This window comes from Homo sapiens, chromosome 3 (genome assembly GCF_000001405.40).
Source record: "Homo sapiens chromosome 3, GRCh38.p14 Primary Assembly".
NCBI lineage: Eukaryota > Metazoa > Chordata > Mammalia > Primates > Hominidae > Homo > Homo sapiens.
In genome coordinates this window covers 38,539,930-38,558,018 of record NC_000003.12, presented here as the reverse complement: position 1 = coordinate 38,558,018, position 18,089 = coordinate 38,539,930, and the positions used below count along the sequence as shown (strand labels likewise).

Sequence of the window (18,089 nt, the reverse complement as noted above, 5' to 3'; positions counted from 1 at the left end):
GAGGCTTTTTACTTCTATTATGTCTGTACAGTGGGAGTACCATAATGCTAAGCTCTTTTCCATCTCTTCTCAACTCCATTGAGTAACTTCACATTGGTAACCTGAAATCGACCATGGTGAGAATATTTACACAAGAGAAATTGGCAAACCAACAATCAGGGTTTTTTCTTTTCTTCTGGGACGTCAGCTGTTAACCATTTACCAACACACCATTGACAAAAGAACCCCCTTAAGTACAAGGGAAGGTTGAGATTCTTCGGGAACTTCCCTTGAAAGTCCATGGAGCAGAAGCCACATGGTTCTCTGACATGTAGGACAAAGGGGACCAGGTCAGCCCTGGAGTCTAGAACACAGAGTCTAAGTTCCACCTCTGTCTCCCTGACAGAATCACTGTCAGGATTCTGTGATGTTTTAGAAATGGAAATGAGGGTGGATCTGAAGGGCAGACCTCCTGCAAGCCCCCTCAGACTCTCGGCCTCAATCAAGAAGCTTATTCCCTGCTGCATGGCCTTCTTGGGGCATCTTCTCAGCTGCTTCCCCTCCCCACCCCTAGTGCTAAACAAGGTCTTTCTCTGACCACCCAGGCATTTAGATGCTGCTGAAGGGGTGAGGTGGGGTGGCTTGCTTTTCATAAGAAGCTTGCTTCTGGCTTCATCTGTCCAGACCAGAGCCCTAAGAAGCTCAAGCGAGGTACAGAATTAAATGATTGTCTTAATCTTGTCTTTTCCTCCCAGGCAACATTTAAAGGCTGGATGGACATTATGTATGCAGCTGTGGACTCCAGGGGGGTAGGTTGCCACAGTGGCTTCTTCCACCAAGTCAGGCACCTGAGGCTCCTGGTTGCTTGGCCACCAGGGAATCAGTGTCTGCATCTGAAAGCCCAGCCCACAAGGGCAAGATCTCGTGTCACTCTGGAGTTCAGCCTCTCTGGAATGCCCAAGCCTGGCTCTGGGGCAAGGTTGCTTGGTCTCCTAAGAAGTCCCAGAATTCTCAAATGTCTTTCAAATTAAACTCACTGTAGTTTACTGACTTTTACCCCAGGAGGATGGGGTGGAAGCAACAGAGACACAAATCAAGCTTCTTCTTTGTCCAGCACCCCACCCGATCACACTGACAGCCCAGTGAAGACTGACAGAGGTCCCCATGTACTCCAGCCTCCCATTGGCCCAGGGCCGGAGCCAGGCACTGATACTCTGCCAGCCCTGAGCTCAGCATGTCTGCTGTCCTCACCTGCCACCATCCACTCCTCTCACCTCTATCCCTACCCACCTCTGGCCCACAGACTCACATAACTGGGCTAGTGACCTTCCTCTAGATACACCCTCTTTCCCACAGAATGGACACCCCTAGACAGCCCTCTGCCTCTGCTCCCCACCCCTCCCCATGTGACCCCCGAGACCCCAGCCTGTCTGATCTCCCTGTGTGATTTCTCCCTTGCAGTATGAAGAGCAGCCTCAGTGGGAATACAACCTCTACATGTACATCTATTTTGTCATTTTCATCATCTTTGGGTCTTTCTTCACCCTGAACCTCTTTATTGGTGTCATCATTGACAACTTCAACCAACAGAAGAAAAAGATACGTAGAGCACCAGCTCCCCACTGGGCTGGGTAGGGTGGGGCCGGGTGCCAGGGGATTGAGGGGCCACTCAGGCTCCAGGTCCCATCTCACCTTCCCTGTTGGGGATGGTCCTCTTCTTGCTCCTGCTGGAATGAGGTGGGGAGAAGGGTGTGTCCAGGGATGTAACATGCCTAGGCCTGTAAGAACGTAAGAAGGGGCTTTGGTGGGAGGCCCCATGCCTGCCCTAATCCACCTAAGAGATGAGACTCCTGGGAGAAGCTGGGGTGAGAGCTGCAACTCTTCACCTGGTCCATGATCAGAGGTCATGGGTAAGGCCTGTGCAGAGGGCCTGGGCTCCCAGAGCTTCATCAGAGAGGCTATGACTGGGTTGTAGGCAAACCAAGTGAACGGAGAGAACCTGAAGGCTGGTTGAGCTGGGAGGAGAAAAGGGTAGGGGGGTGGATACTGGATTTGCAGGTCATAAAGCCAGAGAGATCTCAAGGTGAAAAGGGACAGGGCCCCTGGATAAATAGATTTGGGGAAGAATCTGTGGTGCAGAATAGGGACATATTTTGTCCAGGAGAGAAAGCCAGGAGGTGGTCAATCCTGGCATCCTCATCAAGAAGGCAAGATCCTGGTGCCCTCCATGCTGGGGCCTCTGAGAACCCCAGAATGAGGTTGGTGCCTTCTCTTTGCACTTAGGGGGCCAGGACATCTTCATGACAGAGGAGCAGAAGAAGTACTACAATGCCATGAAGAAGCTGGGCTCCAAGAAGCCCCAGAAGCCCATCCCACGGCCCCTGGTGAGCCAGGCTCCTGGTTTTGTGGGAGTGGGGAGGATCTTCTGGGGTCCCTGGGAAGCTTTCGTGCCACATGGCCAGCCATCAGAGCCGCTTCACAGTCTTTCAGCCCAGCCTGAGGGGCACTATCAGATGTCTGATCATGAAGAGAGGTCCCAGCCTCGTAGAGATAGGGAGGAAGGTATGATAAGGATGTAGCATCCCAGGACACTCCCCACCCACAGGAACCCTCTGTACCTGAGCAAATCTCCTCCTTCCCCTCAAGGATGCAGGCTTTCCCCAGGAAAAGCAGTGCAGCCTTCACAGCCCCACCCCACCCCACTCACAGCCTCATCCTTGGAACCCCAGAACAGTCAGGGAGCCGGATTCCTGAGTCACCTGGTGGGGAGAGCCAAGAGCTCTGGAGAGCGGGGTCCTCTCCAAGACTGACTCCCTTGGCCCAATCAAGCCATTATCCAAAAAATTGTGTGTGTGTGTGTGTGTGTGTGTGTGTGTGTGTTATTTATAATCTTTTCCAAGTGGGAGAACAGAAGAAAAAAAAAAAAAAAAAAAATATATATATATATATATATATATATATATATATATATATATATATATAAAATCTTATTTCTTTCCCCAAATAATCTGGGCTGATTTACAATTAAAGACACATACAAATATGGTTAGTAGAATAAATAAAATAAATTCCATAAAAAAGTGGAGAAAATATATTAATCTAAGCACTGACATAATTACTAAGGTTGAAGTTTAAATTTGCCCTTGAGCCTTCAGACTGTGGGAACTAAAAGGGAAGCACAATGAACAGTGTGCTAAGGATGCTCAGGGCAGGAACAATCTCTCCCTGAAGATCCATCATGGAAGGCCTCATGGAAGATGGAGCTCTGGGGATGGGCCTTGAAGCCCAGGAAGCATTTCAGCAGGACAGCCAGTGGCTTTAGCCTCCAGGACTTTTTCCTCTGCACTCTCTGTGGCAGTGTTGCAGGGGCTTTGGGCTCACTAGAGGGTAGAGTGGGAGGGTGGGTGGTCTGGGATGAGAGGCAGCAACAGGCATTTGCCAGCCTCCCCAAGGGCCCTGCTGAGCACTTTCCATTTGCCTCTCCTTTCAGAACAAGTACCAGGGCTTCATATTCGACATTGTGACCAAGCAGGCCTTTGACGTCACCATCATGTTTCTGATCTGCTTGAATATGGTGACCATGATGGTGGAGACAGATGACCAAAGTCCTGAGAAAATCAACATCTTGGCCAAGATCAACCTGCTCTTTGTGGCCATCTTCACAGGCGAGTGTATTGTCAAGCTGGCTGCCCTGCGCCACTACTACTTCACCAACAGCTGGAATATCTTCGACTTCGTGGTTGTCATCCTCTCCATCGTGGGTGGGTATACAAGTCAGCTGGACGGAGAAGCCCTCCCCAGCCAGGCCTCTCCTCCAGCCCCTGGGTCTCTGCTGAATGCCATGTACAACCCTAGCTTCTTTCATAATTTTTTTCAGTGCATTTCTCACCCCCCTTCTCCCCTCACACATACACGCACACACACCTCTCCAGAGAGAACTTATCTGGAAGGCCCCACTTGGGCCAAGGAGACCAATCTGGCAGAGGACCCAGCACTTGCTCCTGGCCCCACCCTCCAGAGGAACTGGGAACACAGTTCTCTAACTGCTTAGAGAGCTTCAAGGATGAGTCTGGGAATGGGAGTGGGTGCTGTGGAGGCTAATTCTGCCTGCACTTAGGTTGAAGGAGAAGGAAGCTCAGGATGAGATGGGTCCCCAGGGATGGGGGATAGGTGGCCCTCCAGAGTAGAAATTATCCCTGAAGATGGAAAATTCTGGAGCTAACCGCCAAGGTGTATGCCAGACTCCTTCAGACATCACCTGCCTCATGCAATTCACCCAGTCAATTCAGCACCAAAGGAGGGAGATTGTGCAGCTAGGGAGAAGCAGAGACCCAATCCTGACCCATGTCTGTTTGACCTCGGAGCCCAGATCTTTTTTTTATATAACAGCTTTACTGAGACATAATTCACATACCATAAAATTCACGGTTAACTTTAAAGTCACTTTAAAGTATACAATTCAGTGTTTTTTAATATATGCACAGAGCTTTGCAACCATCACCACTATCTAATTTTAGAATATATTCCTTTCCCCAAAGGAAACTCTACCCATTTAATAGTCAATCCCCATTCATTTCCCCTCTCCCTCACCCCTGAAAACCACTTATCTAAAGTTTTGAGGGACCACCAAACTGTTTTTCAATATGGCTGCACCTTTTTACATTCTCGCTGTCAATGTATGAGGATTCCAATTATTTTGCCCTCACCAACACTTGTTATTGCCTGCATTCTTTTTATAGGAGCCCTCCTAGTGAGTATGAAGTGATATCTCACTGAGGTTTTGGTTTGCAAAAGCAAATGACTGATGACTAACGATGCAGGACATCTTTCCATGTGCATGTTGGTCATTTATATATCTTCCTTGGAGAAATCTCTATTCAGATCCTTAGCTCATTTTTAATTGGGTTATTTCTCTTTTTCTTGTTGAGTTGTAAGAGTTCTTTACATATTCTGGATCATAGTCTCTTATCAGATATATGATTTAAAAATATTTTCTCCTAGTCTGTGAGTTTTTTCATTTCCTAGTGGTGTCCATTAAAGCACAAAAGTTTTACATGTTAATGAAGTCCAGTTTACTTATATTTTTTCTTTTGTCACTTGTGCTCGGAGCCCAAACTCTTTAACTCTACCCCCAAGGGGCTCTGCCTTGCGGTGACTGTGACTTTCATCTTTCTGCCATATACAACCTCTGCCTCTGGTAAATGTAAAGGATAATGCAGGGGCTAAGGCAGGCACTGCTGTGGCTATAGTGACGGGAAGATGGAAGCACAAAGTAGGGTCAGGAATCTCTGGGGGGTCTCAAGCAGGATGAGGGTGAGAGCGTGCCTTATGGGACTGGAGAGGAGTTTTAGAGAATGCAGGATGTCAGCAGCAGGAATGGAACCATTGAGGGACAGTCTCAGAGGCTTTGGAAGGTTCAGCATGTACTTTGGGATCTCTCCTGGCCCGCTGTTTGGGCGGTACCAGAGAGGAGGAGTGGTTAAGAGATCAACTTGGAGCCCGAACGTCTGAGTCAAATCCCAGCTTCTCACTCACTAGGTGGCAACTTGGGTAAGTTACCTCACCTCTGTTTCCTCTTCTGGAAGATAAGGATGATGGCATCTGCTCACTTCCTAGGACAATGGGAAGGACTAAATGAAATGATGGCTATAAAGTGCTCGGCCCATTGCCCCAGTGATCGTAAACACTGGACCCATGTCAGTCAGTGACATTATTATATAAGGAGTCTGGAAAGGGCACTTGGGCCATATAAGACAAGTTTATTTCACTCTTTATTCCATGATTTATATCCATGCCCCTTAAAACTCCAAACCCAGGTAGTCACAGGAGACCCAGGGGCAGTGACGCCCTCAAAGGAGGCAGAGTTAGGAGAGCGATAAGAACCATCACAGAGAAGCTGAGAGAAGACACTGGCCATGGCGTGGCATCAGGGAGCACTGATTTCTGGGCCAGTGTTTCATGCCCTTCGATGGGCACATAAATCATCTGGGCTTCTTAAGATGCAATGGGCTGGGGTGGAGCTGAGATTCTGCATTTCTGATAAGCACCTAGGAGATCCCAAGGCTGCTGGTCCTCAAACCACACTTTGAATAGCAAGGAGCTAAAAGACCTGAGTTCTGGCCCAAGCTGGGTGGGCAAGATACTAAGCAGATCCCCTCTGGCCTGAGAACCCAAGATGTAGAAGATGGGCCTAGGACAGCTCTATTGTGTAGGTACACACTGAAGATTAAGGAATGAGGGGGCTGAGAAGGAACCCTGCAAAGGACCCATTTTTCTGGGTCACAGATGCAGACATGGAGACTCAAACAGACAGGAGCAGGCAGAGTCCTAGCATGCCCAGTGGACGCAATCCTGGAAGGGCCGCCTCTCCTTGGCTCCTTGCCATATAGAGACCCCCCCCCCACCGCCAACCCCTGCACAGTGATGCTGGCTGGAAGACAGAGGTGCCACCAGTAGCCACAGTCTCTGTTGTTTCCCACAGGCACTGTGCTCTCGGACATCATCCAGAAGTACTTCTTCTCCCCGACGCTCTTCCGAGTCATCCGCCTGGCCCGAATAGGCCGCATCCTCAGACTGATCCGAGGGGCCAAGGGGATCCGCACGCTGCTCTTTGCCCTCATGATGTCCCTGCCTGCCCTCTTCAACATCGGGCTGCTGCTCTTCCTCGTCATGTTCATCTACTCCATCTTTGGCATGGCCAACTTCGCTTATGTCAAGTGGGAGGCTGGCATCGACGACATGTTCAACTTCCAGACCTTCGCCAACAGCATGCTGTGCCTCTTCCAGATCACCACGTCGGCCGGCTGGGATGGCCTCCTCAGCCCCATCCTCAACACTGGGCCGCCCTACTGCGACCCCACTCTGCCCAACAGCAATGGCTCTCGGGGGGACTGCGGGAGCCCAGCCGTGGGCATCCTCTTCTTCACCACCTACATCATCATCTCCTTCCTCATCGTGGTCAACATGTACATTGCCATCATCCTGGAGAACTTCAGCGTGGCCACGGAGGAGAGCACCGAGCCCCTGAGTGAGGACGACTTCGATATGTTCTATGAGATCTGGGAGAAATTTGACCCAGAGGCCACTCAGTTTATTGAGTATTCGGTCCTGTCTGACTTTGCCGATGCCCTGTCTGAGCCACTCCGTATCGCCAAGCCCAACCAGATAAGCCTCATCAACATGGACCTGCCCATGGTGAGTGGGGACCGCATCCATTGCATGGACATTCTCTTTGCCTTCACCAAAAGGGTCCTGGGGGAGTCTGGGGAGATGGACGCCCTGAAGATCCAGATGGAGGAGAAGTTCATGGCAGCCAACCCATCCAAGATCTCCTACGAGCCCATCACCACCACACTCCGGCGCAAGCACGAAGAGGTGTCGGCCATGGTTATCCAGAGAGCCTTCCGCAGGCACCTGCTGCAACGCTCTTTGAAGCATGCCTCCTTCCTCTTCCGTCAGCAGGCGGGCAGCGGCCTCTCCGAAGAGGATGCCCCTGAGCGAGAGGGCCTCATCGCCTACGTGATGAGTGAGAACTTCTCCCGACCCCTTGGCCCACCCTCCAGCTCCTCCATCTCCTCCACTTCCTTCCCACCCTCCTATGACAGTGTCACTAGAGCCACCAGCGATAACCTCCAGGTGCGGGGGTCTGACTACAGCCACAGTGAAGATCTCGCCGACTTCCCCCCTTCTCCGGACAGGGACCGTGAGTCCATCGTGTGAGCCTCGGCCTGGCTGGCCAGGACACACTGAAAAGCAGCCTTTTTCACCATGGCAAACCTAAATGCAGTCAGTCACAAACCAGCCTGGGGCCTTCCTGGCTTTGGGAGTAAGAAATGGGCCTCAGCCCCGCGGATCAACCAGGCAGAGTTCTGTGGCGCCGCGTGGACAGCCGGAGCAGTTGGCCTGTGCTTGGAGGCCTCAGATAGACCTGTGACCTGGTCTGGTCAGGCAATGCCCTGCGGCTCTGGAAAGCAACTTCATCCCAGCTGCTGAGGCGAAATATAAAACTGAGACTGTATATGTTGTGAATGGGCTTTCATAAATTTATTATATTTGATATTTTTTTACTTGAGCAAAGAACTAAGGATTTTTCCATGGACATGGGCAGCAATTCACGCTGTCTCTTCTTAACCCTGAACAAGAGTGTCTATGGAGCAGCCGGAAGTCTGTTCTCAAAGCAGAAGTGGAATCCAGTGTGGCTCCCACAGGTCTTCACTGCCCAGGGGTCGAATGGGGTCCCCCTCCCACTTGACCTGAGATGCTGGGAGGGCTGAACCCCCACTCACACAAGCACACACACACAGTCCTCACACACGGAGGCCAGACACAGGCCGTGGGACCCAGGCTCCCAGCCTAAGGGAGACAGGCCTTTCCCTGCCGGCCCCCCAAGGATGGGGTTCTTGTCCACGGGGCTCACTCTGGCCCCCTATTGTCTCCAAGGTCCCATTTTCCCCCTGTGTTTTCACGCAGGTCATATTGTCAGTCCTACAAAAATAAAAGGCTTCCAGAGGAGAGTGGCCTGGGTCCCAGGGCTGGCCCTAGGCACTGATAGTTGCCTTTTCTTCCCCTCCTGTAAGAGTATTAACAAAACCAAAGGACACAAGGGTGCAAGCCCCATTCACGGCCTGGCATGCAGCTTGTCCTTGCTCCTGGAACCTGGCAGGCCCTGCCCAGCCAGCCATCGGAAGAGAGGGCTGAGCCATGGGGGTTTGGGGCTAAGAAGTTCACCAGCCCTGAGCCATGGCGGCCCCTCAGCCTGCCTGAAGAGAGGAAACTGGCGATCTCCCAGGGCTCTCTGGACCATACGCGGAGGAGTTTTCTGTGTGGTCTCCAGCTCCTCTCCAGACACAGAGACATGGGAGTGGGGAGCGGAGCTTGGCCCTGCGCCCTGTGCAGGGAAAGGGATGGTCAGGCCCAGTTCTCGTGCCCTTAGAGGGGAATGAACCATGGCACCTTTGAGAGAGGGGGCACTGTGGTCAGGCCCAGCCTCTCTGGCTCAGCCCGGGATCCTGATGGCACCCACACAGAGGACCTCTTTGGGGCAAGATCCAGGTGGTCCCATAGGTCTTGTGAAAAGGCTTTTTCAGGGAAAAATATTTTACTAGTCCAATCACCCCCAGGACCTCTTCAGCTGCTGACAATCCTATTTAGCATATGCAAATCTTTTAACATAGAGAACTGTCACCCTGAGGTAACAGGGTCAACTGGCGAAGCCTGAGCAGGCAGGGGCTTGGCTGCCCCATTCCAGCTCTCCCATGGAGCCCCTCCACCGGGCGCATGCCTCCCAGGCCACCTCAGTCTCACCTGCCGGCTCTGGGCTGGCTGCTCCTAACCTACCTCGCCGAGCTGTCGGAGGGCTGGACATTTGTGGCAGTGCTGAAGGGGGCATTGCCGGCGAGTAAAGTATTATGTTTCTTCTTGTCACCCCAGTTCCCTTGGTGGCAACCCCAGACCCAACCCATGCCCCTGACAGATCTAGTTCTCTTCTCCTGTGTTCCCTTTGAGTCCAGTGTGGGACACGGTTTAACTGTCCCAGCGACATTTCTCCAAGTGGAAATCCTATTTTTGTAGATCTCCATGCTTTGCTCTCAAGGCTTGGAGAGGTATGTGCCCCTCCTGGGTGCTCACCGCCTGCTACACAGGCAGGAATGCGGTTGGGAGGCAGGTCGGGCTGCCAGCCCAGCTGGCCGGAAGGAGACTGTGGTTTTTGTGTGTGTGGACAGCCCGGGAGCTTTGAGACAGGTGCCTGGGGCTGGCTGCAGACGGTGTGGTTGGGGGTGGGAGGTGAGCTAGACCCAACCCTTAGCTTTTAGCCTGGCTGTCACCTTTTTAATTTCCAGAACTGCACAATGACCAGCAGGAGGGAAGGACAGACATCAAGTGCCAGATGTTGTCTGAACTAATCGAGCACTTCTCACCAAACTTCATGTATAAATAAAATACATATTTTTAAAACAAACCAATAAATGGCTTACATGACCTGGTCTAGGCTCTGTCCTTGTGCTGAGATTTGACAAGAGTGGTAGCAGAGGACCGAGGGCCTGGGAGATGGCCTTCTCCTGAGCAAGTCTGGGGAACTTGCTGAGAGAGCATAACACTGACCATCATAACCATGGTTTAAGCGTACAATTCTGTAGCAGTAAGCACATGCACACTGTGGTACCACCATCACCACCGTCCATGTCAAGAACTTTTCTGTCAGCCCAAATTACCACCCTGCACCCATTAAACACTAACTCCCCACTCCTGCCTTCCCCCAGCCCCAGGGAGCTGCCATTCTGCTTTTTCATCCCTACAAATTTGACTACTCTAAGTGCCTTATATAAGTGGAATCATACAATATTTGACAAATTCAACTACCCTAAATGCCTTATATAAGTGGAATCATATAATATTTGACAAATTTGACTACCCTAAGTGCCTTATATAAGTGGAATCATACAATATTTGTCCTCTTGTGACTGGCTTATTTCACTTACCATAATGTCCTCAAAGTTCATCCAGGTCACAACATATTTCCTTCCTTTTTAGGAATTTTTTTCAGGATTTTCAGAATTTTTTCTTAATTTTTTTCATAAATTTTCAGAATTTACATCCTTTTTAAGGCTGAATAATATTCCATTGTATGTATTTTGCTTGTCCTCTCACCCACTGAGGGACACTTCCGTTGCTTCCACATTTTAGCTATTGTAAATAATGCTACTGTGAACATGAGTGCACAAATATCTGAGACCTTGCCTTGAATTCTTTTGGGTAGGTACCCAGAAGTGGAATTGCTGTTTCATATGGCAATTTTATTTTTAATTTTTTTAGGAACTGCCATACTGTCTCCCACAGCACAAGGGTTCCAGTTTGTCTACATCCTCATCAACTCTTGTTATTTTCTGTTTTTTTCAAATAGCAGTCATCCTAATCTGTCTGAGATGGTATCTCATTGTAGTTTTTTTGTTTGTTTGTTTGCTTTTTGTTTTTTGAGATGGAGTCCCACTCTGTCGCCCAGGCTAGAGTGCAATGGCACGATCTCAGCTCACTGCAACCTCCACCTCCCCGGTTCAAGTGATTCTCCTGCCTCAGCTTCCCGAGTAGCTGGAACTACAGGCACCAGCCACCACCAGCTAATTTTTGTGTTTTTAGTAGAGATGGGGTTTCACCATCTTGGCCAGGCTGGTCTCGAACTCCTGACCTCAGGTGATCTGCCCACTTTGGCCTCCCAAAGTGCTGGGATTACAGGTGTGAGCCACTGTGCCCGGCCTCATTGTAGTTTTGATCTGCATTTCCCTAATGATCAGTTATGCTGAATATCTTTTCATGTGCTTATTCGTCATTTGTATTTCTTCTTTGGAGAAACGTCTATTCAGGTCCTTTGAATTTGGTTGTTTTCTTTGTCGTTGACTTTTAGAAGTTCTCTATATATTCTGGATATTAATTCTTTATCACATATATGATTTGCACATATTTTTCCCCATTCTGTGGGTTGCCTTTTTACTCTGTTGATAATGTCTTGGGATGCACAAAACTTTAATTTTCATGAACTCCATTGTCTATTTTTTATTTTGTTGCCTGTGTCTCCTCCCATCTTATTGACTGTGCCTTTTCAGCCTCCCCTGGCAGAACATCCTCTGGTGTCTGACTAATGTTCAAGTTCTTTAGGCCCTGTGCTCTCTCCCAGAAAGAGTGGAAAACACGTTCTTTTCCCCTCCTATGGCTTTGAAGAGTCTTGATCTTTTCCTGAGGCCAGGTCTCTCCTTGGATCCCCAGGCCAGCAGATTCAGCTGCTTACTTTGGACATCTCCAGAGCTTTCAGGCCCAGCCCAGCCAACTCTGAGCTCCTCTGCCTCACCCTGAGCCTATCTGTGAAGGTGGTCCCACAAATCCATCCTCAGCCGCATGCAGCCCTCACCTCTCACCCCTCACCTGGTCCAAGCCCCATTGGCTCCACCTCCTTCGTGTCTTTCAAATCCCACCTTTTGGCTCCATCTTATTGTCCCTTCCTTGGGTGAGGCCAGCATATCGCCTCATGGAGGCCACCAGGGAAGCTCCTTCCTCTAACCTCATCCATTCCAAACTCTTCTCCACTCAGCTACCAGAGTGATATTTTCATCCAAGATAATTACCCTCTGGATAAGACTGCACAGTGGCTTTCTATTGCCTCAGGATCAAGGCAAACCCCTCAGAGGTCTCCCCAGTCCTGCCAACCTCTGTAACAGCATCTCTTCCAACCCCTCAAAGGCTCCAGGCTCCTCCTCCTCCCAGCCTTGCCAGAACACTCTTCTCCTTTCCACTCAGCCTTCAGACCTCCCTGAATGCCCCTTCCTCTGGGAACCTCCCCTGACACAGCCCGGTCCCCTCCCCACCATGTGCCCCACTCTTGATGCTTCCCTGCCACAGCCCTCCACACTCCTTGCAAATACCTGCAAAGTCATTATGTGAACAAACACAATCCCTGATGTAATATAACCCAGCCTTTGTCTCTGTCCCTTCCTGTCTCTTTAGCTTTATTCAGTGGCGATCATCTTCCCTGGCCCTGGAGAAAACCCGGGCAGATCCTGTAGCTTTGCAGCTCAGTCTTAGGTTATTTTACCTAATCAGTCAGTTTGTGTTATAAACACAGACTCAGCCAGGCCAGGAGAGCATTCGATCCCATGACTTGTCAGAGACAGGGTGGCTGGTGGCTTCTCCTCCCCAGGCCAGGCAGATGGTTAGGGATGCTCTCACACAAGGCATTTTTGTGGGCTCTCTCTTCTGGGTACCCCCTTATGATGTCTTCCTTTGCCCATGGGAACCATGAGCCTAGCCCTTCCTGGCAAGACCCCTTGTCCCTCCAGGTGGCCCTGTCACAGTGGTGCACACTGGCTCTCTCTTCGCCTGCCCACCTCTGGCCCATAAGAAACAGTTGGAGCACTTGCCCCACCTACTCTGGGTGGGGTCATGCCCTGACAGCAGTGCCCTCTGCAGCCACCCCCAGTGCAGCTGGCCTGCAACCCTTCCTCTGGGTTCCCAGGGCGGGAGTCAGATCACACTCGCTCATCCACTTGAGCTTTCTTGGATCCTGGAGGCCCAGTTCTCTGTGTCTCCAACATCTTAAAGCTCTCTGAGAAGTTCTGGAAGCCCCCTTGGCCTGCCCAGAGTTAGAAGGTGGTATGTGCCTGCCACAAGCCTTGCCAGAACCTCCTGCAAGGGAAGGCTGGGGTCCTGGAAACAGCACAGCAGCAGCTCTCTCCGAAGAAACTGACTCCCAGGGTCCCGCAGCCCTCCACTCTCTCAGACCCCTTTTTATATCCTTGATGTGACTAGGGGCCCAAGTGGGTGGCGCCATTTATTTCCCTTGTAAACCAACTTCATAGGAGAGGCATGTGGTTCGGTGCCCTGAAACCTCTGATATTGGTTCCTTGGTCCACACCGGGGCAGGGATAGTCCATTCACCACTGGGCTAATCATCTTTCCCCAGCCACACGAGAGCTTTTCAAATGGCAGACTATGTCCAGTTTTTTTTTGTTTTTTTTTTTTTAAAAAGAATATCAGAATTTAAAATAGCAGTATATCCCATGTGGTAAGAGTGAGTGTTGTTTGGAGAAACTGTTGATTCAGCTCTATATAAAATGTGGGTGAGTGCCCATGTGTGTATCCTGGTGAGTGATAGAAAATAAACTTCTTACTAGGAACCTCAGTGAAAAAAACTTAAAAGCAGCACAAGAACAGAGTCTATGTCTGCTTTACTCAGTACTGCATCCCGGGACTAGCTCAGTGGCTGGCACATGGTGGTAACTCAATGACTATTATGTGTGAGGAAAGGAGGGAAGCTGGAGGCTGGGACCCCACTGTGAGGCTGTGAGGGGAGTCAGGTCTTTCTCACAAGCTCCAGGGATCCTAACTACCACCTTGGTCTGGGCCAGCGGGCAGCTTCCCGCATTGTTCTTGAAACCAAGGCTTGGAGCCCACGCTTCTCGGCCCCTTGGGTGGGGTCTTCCCTGGCTGCCTGAGGTGGGCCCTCACCTGGCCTGGGATGTGGGTGGGTTCACCTGGAAGGAGTGAGTGAGCCTGGGAAGTGGCTGAGGCAGGGAGAGGAGGCCTGTGCTTGCAGCAAGGCTGCAGCTGTCACTGGGTCACTCTGGGGTGAGGCTGGGGTCCAGGCAGCGGGTGGCCCTGTGAGTGACGGATGCTGGCTCCTGTGTCAGCGGGAAAGCATGCAGCCCAGAGATCTCAGCCCTTGGCAGGGAGAGAGATGCTCCTGGACAGACGTCAGCTCTCACCCTGGGGGCCACAGCAGTGTTGGCAGCTTCCCTACCCCCGTGCCAGGAGCTCCTCCGATATCAGCCCTGATGGCCACGAGACTCAAAGCCCAGGAGGTTGGGAGGGGCCAGGGAGACAGAAGCCCAGGCACTCCTACAGGCAGAGACAGCAACTGGGGACAGCAACTGAGAGTGAGGCAAGGGTGTGGTGGCAAAGATGCCAAAGGGCAGCCACTGATGGGCTCAGAGGAACAGCAGGAACTAGCGTCTCCTGCCCCTGGCTGCTTCTGAGAGTCTGTGTGTGCTGGCACGGTACCTTTGCACCCCACCATTGCTCTAAGCACACTTACTGTGCAGCCCACCTGTGAGTCTAAGGGCTGTGCAAGGCCAGGCCAGACCTGTTTGTTCATAACACAGTCTTCAGCCCCTGCCCCAGCACCTGGCACAGATAAGGAGCTGGGAATGTTTGCAGAAGAAACAAACTGATTGATCAGCCAATTCACTCTCTGCTGAGTTCCCCTGGACCTGCTCCTCCGTTTGAACCCTTCTTGTCCCCTCAAGTTTCCTGCCCCTTTTCTCACCAGCAGTCCCACCTTCCACTCTGTTTTTCTGGAAGGAGGTCAGACACAGGACCATTTGAAATTCTTGCCAGATAAACACGTGTGGATTCACCATGCACTTGTGCACATGCAAGGCACAGAGGCTGTAGTCAGTCTGTCAAGGATGAGGAGGGGCACAGGGAGATGCCTCAAATCCCGAGAATGAATGTCAGGCTTCCTGTCCCAAACCTCCTTGGGCCAGGGCCCTCAGGACTTTCCCAGGGACAGAGGTAGGCAGACAGGCCAGAGAAGAGTCAAGCAGAGAGGATGGGTGAGGAACTTAGTTCAGAAATGATACTTAAAGGCTGGCAGTTGCCAAGCTCCATCCGAGGGCATCCCAGAGGGACCCCAGGGTCCCTTCAGGAAGCGCCATCCTCATGTGGGTATCCCAAGCCAGCCTGAGTGGCAGGGGTCGGGGCCAGGCCAGCCTGAGCCCAGCACGTGTAATGACCATCCTGACAAGCACTTCCTCCCATGCCAGCTCACGGAGCTGGCATCCCCGGGCAGCTGCCAGGCACCTGCTGCCGGAGAGAAAAGCCCCATCATCCCAGCCTCTGTGGACAGACAGGCCGGCTCGGATTCCAGAAAGGCATGCAAGGTCAGAGTGGAGCCCCCTTCCCCGGATGTGGGCTGAGCAGCCAGCAGTATGTCCTGTCTTCCCGCCTGCCCCACTCTGTGCTGGCCTCTGTGTGAGGCAGAGCATCAGGGAGTGTGCACTGGGATCCTTGGTGCGACTGGCCAGGGGGCCGAACTTGCCTCCAGTATTTGTCCTGGGAGCCATCTCCCCTTGGGGCCCATGTCTGCCACTCATCCTCCCAGGCATCGCTCCCCCCCTGGCAGAACCAGGCCACTTCTGTAAGGAAGACTGTAGGACTTGTGGCAAAGAAGGCAGAGGGCAGGGACAGCTTGCCCGAGAGCCCTCCCTGTTTAAGAGAAGCCGGTTTAAGAGAGATAATTGGGGCTCCTGTATCCTGTATCAATCTATCACATTTATAGCTGTCACTCCAGACAGGAGACAAGGAAATGACAAAAGCCAATAAGGCCAATAAATAAAGGGTAATGGAATAATCAGTATGTGCAGCCTATTCCCTGAGCCACAGAGCCAGGGGTAGGGCTCAGCCCCTCCCTTCGGTCTCTGTCTCAGCTTCACCCACAGGCCCCAGGAGACAGTTAAAACCACTCAACAGCCCCCACGGGGGTGCCCGGCTGGATTTCCAGCTGCTCAGGCCAAAACCCTTGACGTCATCCTTGCCTCCTCTCTGTTTCTCACACCCTACATCCAATCCGGCCGGAAATCCTGTTGGCTCTACCTTCGAAATATATCCCAAGTTCAACCAGGCCACTGCGCTGGTCTGAGCCGCCATCATCTCTCTCCTGGATTCTTGCAGTGGCCTCCTCACTGGTCCTTGTCCCCAGCGGGCTCTCAACACAGCAGCCAGCGTGGTCCTATTAAAATCAAGTCGGATCACGCTCACTGAAAGCCCTCTAGCAGCCTCATCTCACCCAGAGGAAAAGCCTTTACCCAGCCCTTACCCAGCCCTGATCCATCCCTTGCCCATTTGCCTGTCTGAGCCCCGCTACGGCCGGCCTCTTGCTCCACTTCAGCAACACCGACTCCTTACAGGTTCCTGAGCAGGCCAAGCATGTCCTGGCCTGGCACTGAAGCACTGGCTGTTCCCTCCCACCTGGAATGCTCTTCCCCCAGGGATCAGCCCTAGCTCCCCTGCTTCCTCTTCCAAGTCTTAGAGGTCACTTTTGCAATAAGGATGACCATGACCATCCTATTTTCTTCCCTTTCCCAGCCCATTGTTTTTATTTTTTAATCAGTTTTAGGAAAGTATAACTTATATACAATAAAAGGCACCCTTCTTAAATGCACAGTTTGATGAGTTTTGACAAATGTTTAAGCAGTACAGCCATCACCATAATTAAGATATACAATATTTCCATCACATCAAGAAGTTGTCTCATCTCCTTCATGGTCAGTCTGCTGTTCCTGGCAATCACTGATCGATTTTCTGTTCCTATAGATTTGCCTTTTCTGGAGAGTCCATATAAGTGCAGGAATTTTCGTTTGTAGCCTTGGGTGCCTGGCTGCTTTCACTTAGCATAATGCATTAGAAATCCATCCATGTCATTGTCTGTATCAGTTGTTCCTTTTTATTGTTGAACAGTATCCCATTATATGAGCATACCACAGTTAGTTTTCCATTCAATAGTTGATGGACATTTGAGTTGTTTACCATTTTTTGCTATTGTGAATAAAGCTGCCATGAACATTTGTATATAGATGTTTGTGTGGGCTTATGTGTTTTGGATTTTGTTTGTTTGTTTGTTTGAGACAGAGTCTCACTCTGTCACTCAGACTAGAGTGCATTGGCATGACCTCTACTCACTGCAACCTCATCTTCCCAGTCTCAAGCAATCCTCCCACCTCAGTCTCCCAAGTAGCTGGGACTACAGACATGTACCAACATACCAAATAATTTTTTTGTATTTCTGGTAGAGACAGGGTTTTACCATGTTGCGCAGGCTGGTCTCGAAATCCTGAGCTCAAGTGATCTGCCTGCCTCAGCCTCCCAGGCATGCTGGGATTATAGGCGTAAGCCACCACACCTGGCTATGTTTTTATCTCTTGGGTAAAGACCTAGGAATTGAATTTCAGAGTTATATTAATAGTGTATGTTTAACTTTATATGAAATTGTCAAAATGTTTTCCAAAGCATTTGTTTGCTTTTCAATCAGCAATGAGAGTTCCAGTTGCTGTATATCCATGCCAGCATTTATTATTTCCAGCCTTATTTTTCCTTTAACTTTAGCCATTTGAGTAGGTGTATCTTGTAATTTTAATTTGGGTTTCCCTGATGACTAATGATGTTGAGCATGTCTTTTTCTTCTTTAAGAGATGGGGTTTCACTCTGTCACCCAGGCTGGAGTGCAGTGGCACAATCATAGCTCACTGTAACCTTGAACTCCCAGACTCAAGCGATCCTCCCACCTGAGGCTCCTGAGTAGCTGGGACTACAGGCATGAGCTATTTAAAAAAAAAATGTTGTAGAGATGGGGGTGTTGCTATGTTGCCCAAGCTCGTCTCAAACTCCTGGGCTCAAGCAGTCCTCCTGCCTCGGCCTCCCAAAGTGCTAGGATTATAGGCATGCACCACCGTGCCCATAATGTGAGCATCTTTCCATGTGCTTATTGGCTATTCCTCTATCTTCTTTGGTGAAATGTCTGCCACTGTTTTAAAGAGCTCTCAACAATGCTTATACGCTTACATCATCAT

The 18,089-nt window shown here is 50.7% G+C and overlaps 1 protein-coding gene across 9 annotated transcripts in view, besides 5 other annotated features; it reads left to right on the top strand.

Moving 5' to 3' along the window:
• Positions 1 to 9,957, top strand: part of SCN5A (sodium voltage-gated channel alpha subunit 5) — a 101,626-nt gene extending 91,669 nt beyond the window's left edge. For 6 of the 9 annotated variants that reach the window (NR_176299.1, NM_000335.5, NM_198056.3 and 3 more), the window contains 5 exons: positions 735 to 788; positions 1,441 to 1,578; positions 2,259 to 2,363; positions 3,470 to 3,740; positions 6,461 to 9,957. Coding sequence is in view for 8 of the 9 variants with exons in the window: in NM_000335.5 (NP_000326.2) it covers positions 735 to 788; positions 1,441 to 1,578; positions 2,259 to 2,363; positions 3,470 to 3,740; positions 6,461 to 7,698 (1,806 nt within the window). In the remaining variant the exon portion in view is untranslated. The remainder of the gene's footprint in view (positions 1 to 734; positions 789 to 1,440; positions 1,579 to 2,258; positions 2,364 to 3,469; positions 3,741 to 6,460) is intronic. The other 3 variants (NM_001354701.2, NM_001099405.2, NM_001160160.2) reach the window with 2 other exon arrangements.
• Positions 8,607 to 9,395: an enhancer, noted in NCBI's record as "H3K4me1 hESC enhancer chr3:38590115-38590903 (GRCh37/hg19 assembly coordinates)". NCBI's record gives its function as "activates a minimal SCP1, AML or CMV promoter by ChIP-STARR-seq in naive H9 embryonic stem cells {active_cell/tissue: H9 hESC(naive)}" and the evidence as "EXISTENCE:reporter gene assay evidence [ECO:0000049][PMID:30033119]".
• Positions 9,396 to 10,186: an enhancer, noted in NCBI's record as "H3K4me1 hESC enhancer chr3:38589324-38590114 (GRCh37/hg19 assembly coordinates)". NCBI's record gives its function as "activates a minimal SCP1, AML or CMV promoter by ChIP-STARR-seq in naive H9 embryonic stem cells {active_cell/tissue: H9 hESC(naive)}" and the evidence as "EXISTENCE:reporter gene assay evidence [ECO:0000049][PMID:30033119]".
• Positions 12,766 to 15,352: an enhancer, noted in NCBI's record as "VISTA enhancer hs2267". NCBI's record gives its function as "enhancer in: other[4/6]" and the evidence as "EXISTENCE:transgenic organism evidence [ECO:0001131][PMID:17130149]".
• Positions 14,126 to 14,627: an enhancer, noted in NCBI's record as "H3K4me1 hESC enhancer chr3:38584883-38585384 (GRCh37/hg19 assembly coordinates)". NCBI's record gives its function as "activates a minimal SCP1, AML or CMV promoter by ChIP-STARR-seq in naive H9 embryonic stem cells {active_cell/tissue: H9 hESC(naive)}" and the evidence as "EXISTENCE:reporter gene assay evidence [ECO:0000049][PMID:30033119]".
• Positions 15,369 to 15,905: an enhancer, noted in NCBI's record as "H3K4me1 hESC enhancer chr3:38583605-38584141 (GRCh37/hg19 assembly coordinates)". NCBI's record gives its function as "activates a minimal SCP1, AML or CMV promoter by ChIP-STARR-seq in naive H9 embryonic stem cells {active_cell/tissue: H9 hESC(naive)}" and the evidence as "EXISTENCE:reporter gene assay evidence [ECO:0000049][PMID:30033119]".